The 6,407-nt window shown below is 45.6% G+C and overlaps 1 annotated feature.

The window, feature by feature from the left end:
* Positions 5,177–5,334: a silencer, noted in NCBI's record as "fragment chr5:74625905-74626062 (GRCh37/hg19 assembly coordinates)". NCBI's record gives its function as "represses an EF-1alpha promoter that drives an FKBP-Casp9 reporter gene in an ReSE screen in HepG2 liver carcinoma cells and phorbol 12-myristate 13-acetate-treated (for megakaryocytic differentiation) K562 erythroleukemia cells {active_cell/tissue: HepG2 | K562(+PMA)}" and the evidence as "EXISTENCE:reporter gene assay evidence [ECO:0000049][PMID:32094911]".

Below are 6,407 nucleotides of genomic sequence, written 5' to 3'. Positions count from 1 at the left end.
ATGTAATTCAAATAAGGACTAAAGTTGTTACCAAAACAGGCTTTAGCCCAAGATTTAGAAATTTTCATTCGCAAACTGCCTAATTGGGAACTCCAATAGGAATATGAGTTCCAAAGCAAGCAATAAAGAAACACCAGTTGTCTAGTTTTATGCTCTTAAAATAAATTCTATATCCTTCCCAAAAGGTATTTCAAAAGAATCTTTATAGCACTTAACTAATAATTTGTACTTAGTGATAAATCACAAAATTTGGTATGGACACAAGGTAGAAAGGGAGGGTGGGGGAAGCGCCAAGGAAGTCCATGTGCCGCTTCCTCATATGCATTTAACCCTTCAAGGAAAGAGTTTATAAAAGTATAATTTTTTTATTTTTAGAGACAGAGCCCAGGCGGGCGTGCAGTAATGGGTCCGGAATTGGAGGGTTCTTGGTCTCACTGACTTCAAGAATGAAGCCGTGGACTCTCGCGGTGAGTGTTAACAGCTCTTAAGGTGGCGCGTCTGGAGTCTGTCCCTTGTGATGTTCAGATGTGTTCGGAGTTTCTTTCTTCTGGTGGGTTCGTGGTCTCGCTGGCTCAGGAGTGAAGCTGCAGACCTTCGCGGTGAGTGTTATAGCTCTTAAGGCAGCGCGTCCGGAGTTTTTCGTTCCTCCCAGTGGGCTCTTAGTCTTGCTGGGCTCAGGAGTGAAGCTGCAGACCTTCGTGGTGAGTGTTACAGCTCATAAAAGCAGCGTGGACCCAAAGAGTGAGCAGTAGCAAGATTTATTGCAAAGAGCAAAAAAACCAAGCTTCCACAGTGTGGAAGGGAACCCGAGCTGGTTGCCAATGCTGGCTCAGGCAGCCTGCTTTTATTCTCTTATCTGGCCCCACCCACATCCTGCTGATTGGTAGAGCCGAGTGGCCTGTTTTGTCAGGGCACTGATTGGTGCGTTTACAATCCCTGAGCTAGATACAAAGGTTCTCCACGTCCCCATCAGATTAGTTAGATACAGTTTCCACACACAGGTTCTCCAAGGCCCCACCAGAGCATCTAGATACAGAGTGTCGATTGGTGCACTCACAAACCTTGAGCTAAACACAGGGTGCTGATTGGTGTGTTTACAATCCCTGAGCTAGACATAAAGGTTCTCCAAGGCCCCACCAGAGCAGCTAGATACAGAGTGTCGATTGGTGCACTCACAAACCTTGAGCTAAACACAGGGTGCTGAATGGTGTATTTACAATCCCTGAGCTAGATATAAAGACTCTCCACGTCCCCACCAGACTCAGGAGCCCAGATGGCTTCACCCAGTGGATCCTGCACCAGGGCTGCAGGTGGAGCTGCCTGCCAGTCCCGCGCCGTGCGCTCACACTCCTCAGCCCTTGGGTGGTCGATGGGACTGGGCGCCGTGGAGCAGGGGGTGGTGCTCGTCGGAGAGGCTGGGGCTGCACAGGAACCCACGGAGTGGGTGGGAGGCTCAGGCATGGCGGGCGGCAGGTCCCGAACCCTGCCCTGCGGGAAGGCAGCTAAGGCTCCGTGAGAAATCGAGCGCAGCGCCGGTGGGCTGGCACTGCTAGGGGACCCAGTACATCCTCCGCAGCCACTGGCCTGGGTGCTAAGTCCCTCATTGCCCGGGGCCAGCAGGGCTGGCTGGCTGCTCCGAGTGTGGGGCCCGCCAAGCCCACGCCCACCCGGAACTCCAGCTGGCCCGCAAGCGCCGCACGCAGCCCCGGTTCCCGCTCACGCCTCTCCCTCCACACCTCCCTGCAAGCTGAGGGAGTGGGCTCCAGCCTTGGCCAGCCCAGAAAAGGGCTCCCACAGTGCAGTGGAGGGGGGGGCTGAAGGGCTCCTCAAATGCTGCCAAAGTGGGAGCCCAGGCAGAGGAGGTGCCAAGAGCAAGCGAGGGCTCTGAGGACTGCCAGCACGCTGTCACCTCTCAGTAACACGATCTTAGCTCACTGAAACCTCTGCCTTCTGGGTTCAGCGATTCTCTTGCCTCAGTCTCCTGGGTAGCTGGGATTACAGGGGTGCACCACCATGCCCGGCTAATTTGTGTGTGTGTGTGTGTGTGTGTGTGTGTGTGTGTGTGTGTGTGTATATGTATACATACACTTTGTTTTTCTTTTTGAGACGGAGTCTCGTTCGGTCGCCCATACTGGAGTGCAGTGGGGCGATCTTGGCTCACTGCAAGCTCCGCCTCCTGGGTTCACGCCATTCTCCTGACTCAGCTAGCTTCCCAAGTAGCTGGGACTGCAGGTGTCAGCCACCACGCCCGGCTAATTTTTTTGTATTTTTAGTAGAGACGGGGTTTCACCGTGTTAGCCAGGATGGTCTCAATCTCCTGACCTCGTGATCCGCCCGCCTCGGCCCCCCAAAGTGCTGGGATTACAGGCGTGAGCCACCGCGCCTGGCCCAATTTTTGTATTTTTAATAGAGACGGGGTTTCGCCATATTGGCCAGGCTGGTCTCGAGCTCCTGACCTCAAGCAACCCGCCCGCCTCAGCTTCCCAAAGTGCTGGGATTACAAGCGTGAACTACCGCACCCGCCTAAAAGTATAATGTTAAGACCCCCTTTAAAAGTAATGAATGACCCACATTGCCATCTTAATCCATCCTCTTTACTATTTACATATATAAATGTGTTAGGCTTCCAACCTTAACATTTCTGGTTTTTGTTGTCATGAGTCATGCTTAAAGATGGGGAATTATAACAAAAACAATAATACTAAAATATTTATATTGCTGCTTCTATATGTCAGCCACTTGTCTAAGTGCTTTTGATATATTAACTCCTTTTATTAAAAGTCCACTGAGGAGAACAATAGTAGAATCTGCATTTTACAAAGGATGAAGCTACAGAAACAGAGATGTTAGGTAATTTGCCTAATTCCACATAGCTTGGAAGTAGCAGAGCCAGAATATAAACTTTGAAATGTGGCTCCCAAGCATATGCCCTAAACCACTCCACTGTCTTATCTTTTGTATTAGCATAATGTGCACTATTTTGTATTAGTACATATCGTATGATTGTTTAATTTTCTGATGCTTCATTACAAAAGACTTTTCATAATATCAGTGAAGAGTTGTACTTGTTTCCCTTTACAGCTCCCAGCTGTGTTCAAATTTGTATTTTCCAGCCTTGGGCAGTTTTCTTTCTCTTTGTCCTGCACAGTGTTTTTTTGTTTTGTTATGTAATTTTAAATTTCAGGATAATTTTTTTAGACTAGCTTATTGCAAATGATAATTGACCACACATAGCTGTTGGCAGATATGATGACTGACTATCACTCCTGCCAAAGGTCAGTAGATATCCACTGAGGGCCTTACTCTATGATAGGCAAAGGGTTAGGCCCTCAAGGCAGAGAGTTAAATAGGAAAATATATACAAACAAACCCTTCCTAGATAACATGGTCAGTGTTCTGAGTGAGGTATACACAGGGTCCAGTGAGAAAAGTTTGGGTTGTGTTTTGAACAAGAGGAGCAAATGGTCTGAAGTCTATTCTAGGCACAAAGGCTAGTATTGTGAGCATGAGAATGGAGGTGATGCAGATATAGAAGAAAATTTAATTGGTTAGAAATCTTAAAGTACTATAGAATACAAGACATTTAAAAGGTAGGAAGTCATGAGCAGCTTGGCAGAAGATCTCAAAGTCCCTAGTGGTGACATTTTACATGCACGAAAGTCTCAGCTGCTGCTCCTCAATAACAAAACTAAAGATACTGCTTCTTTGTTCCTAAAACTTCCCAAAAGGAAATGAATAGATGAAGCCTCTCTTGACCTTAGGAAGAAACGTCTCTACAAGACTGAGTACACACAAAGATTTCTGCTGTTCACTGAGCCTGCTTTCACTGTTTAACTGGTCTTGTTTGTTTTCTCCATTCCTCTCTTTAGACCTTGCCCTAGCTTTGTAGAATAAGTTGGGTAGTAGTAACAAATTGTATTAGAATAATTTTTTTTTCTTTTAAAGGAATTTATTTTCTTCTGGGAAACCTGCATAATGTAGAAACAGTATAACTATGATGATGCGTAAGTGTCCATGTCTGAGATTCTTAGGGATTTGGTTCACACAGAAGTCAATGAAAGATCAAGAAAGAATGAAACAGACAGGGTGTGGTGGCTCACGCCTGTCTGTAATCCCAACACTTTGGTAGGCCAAGGTGGGTGGATCACCTGAGGCCAGGAGTTCAAGACCAGCCTGGCCAACATAGAGAAACCCCATGTCTACTAAAAATACAAACATTAGTTGGGTGTGGTGGTGCACACCTGTAGTCCCAGCTACTAGGTAGGCTGAGGCAGGAGAATCCCTGGAGCCTGGGAGGCAGAGGTTGTAGTGAGCTGAGATCGTGCCACTGTACTCTAGCCTGGGCCACAGAGCGAGACTCTCTCAAAAAAAAAAAAAAAAAAAAAAAAGGAGTGGAACAAATTAGAACTAATTGTGACCCAAGTATGAGCACCACTTCTCCCTCAAGAGCAAACTCTGGGCCAGGCACAGTGGCTCATGCCTGTAATCCCAGCACTATGGGAGTCTGAGGCAGGAGGATTACAACCTCTGCCTCCCAGGTTCAAGCAATTCTCCTGCCTCAGCCTCCCGTGTAGCTGGGATTACAGGAGCCCACCACCAAGCCCAGCTAATTTTTGTATTTTTTTTAGTAGAGATGGGGTTTCGCCATGTTGGCCAGGCTCTCGAACTCTTGACCTCAGGTGATCCACCCGCCTTGGCCTCCCAAAGTGCTGGGATTACAGATGTGAGCCACCACGCCCGGCTCATTCCTAGCTTTATATAAGCTCCCAGATAGCAAAATCAGTTGACAGAGACCAGAAGGAAATGAAAATGGAGGGAGGAGATAAGGAAGAGCTCGGAAAAGAGCTGGATAAGATCCTACCAGGCAAGTGTGAAAAAAAGACGGAAGGATAATGGTCTAAGGGGACCTGCCTCAGCTTTTCTGAGCAACCCCATTGAAAGAGAAGCCTAACAGCAATTGCTCAAGGCAATACCTAGCTAGGCAATCTTTTAATGCAAAGTTACTGTCACTTATAAGTAAAAATGGCCCAAATAAGCTACAGAACTCTAACTATATCTGCTGCAAATTGCAACAAATTTGGCTACAAGTAACAGATAACTCAAAAGAAGCTTAAAAAGATAAGCATTTATTTATTTCTTGGGTAAAGGAAACTGGAAATAGATAATCCAGGACTAGCATGGCAGCCCATGATGCTTTCCGGGACCCTCCTGTCTCCCTGCTCCACCATGCTCAGCATGCAGCTTCCATCCCCAGTGTCACTTGTGGTCCAAGATGGCAACTGGAGTGCCAACCTTCATATCTGCATTTCGGTCCCTCTGGAAGGAACAGGTTCAAGACAAAAGGGCAAAAACAAACAAACAAACTAACAAACAAACAAAAAAACCCAGCCCTTGTTAGCTGTTTTTTTATATCTCACATTTTATATCTCAGTGGCCAGAACTACAAGGTCATACCTAAGTACAAGGAAGCTGGAAATGTAATCTTTATTTTTCACAACAATATGCCCAGCTCAAAACTGAAAAAAGCATCTTCCATGCTATCCACATACTGGGTGAGCACATAATAAGTACACGATACATTTGTTGATCACCTAACTCAAAAACAGGAAACAATTTTACTATCAAGATTTTGGGGGAATAGGAAAGGACATAAGTCTAATATCAAAGATGTATTATTTTATAAACATTAGCTTGAAATGTCAATGGAATTCTTAATAACACCTAGACTTGACTTTTAGCTAAGTGTTTCAAGGTATAATGTTACAAATGGTCCACCATTAAGAAATAATCTAGGGAACTAACAAAGTATTCTGTATCTTAAAATAGAAAAAAAAAAAGGCATCACTGGTCTTATTCGTTGCTATACCTCCAGTACCTATTAACAGTCAATGAATGAATGAATTACAGCAACTTTCCAAGCAATTTGTGATCTTGATTTCCCTCTGATCCAGATTCCTTGCTTTTTCTTTTGCATGTTTTTAATACCCAGCAAGTTCTCAGTGCTGCTTTGACCCTGTACCACAGGCTGCCTCCCACTCTGAAATTTCTTAGGCCTGTGAGACCTGCCTCCCAGAGAAGGCTTCCAGTTCTTTCCATATTTGTCCCAGCTGCACTGAACCGAAGCTGCAGTTATTTGTGCTTCCAAAGCCCATGGATTTGGGGGCACAATGAGCCCTGATGAGTTTTCTGGCTGGATTTATCCCTAAAATCTTACTTTTCCCCCTTACTTTGTACTTTCCAGACTTTGGGTAACTCGTGCTACTTCAATGACAGCATGTTATGAGACATTCTTGGTAAAATCTCCCTAGTTAGGTCTCAGCACTCCTGAAGCTAGTTTTTCCCTTCTCATAGAAAGGAAACGGATTAACAAACTATCCACCTTTCTCAAGCAAGATATTACCAAGGTC

The sequence above is a fragment of the Homo sapiens genome, chromosome 5 (assembly GCF_000001405.40).
Source record: "Homo sapiens chromosome 5, GRCh38.p14 Primary Assembly".
Taxonomy (NCBI): Eukaryota; Metazoa; Chordata; class Mammalia; order Primates; family Hominidae; genus Homo; species Homo sapiens.
Note: the sequence above shows the minus strand (reverse complement) of the source record. Positions and strands in the feature narration are given on the sequence as shown.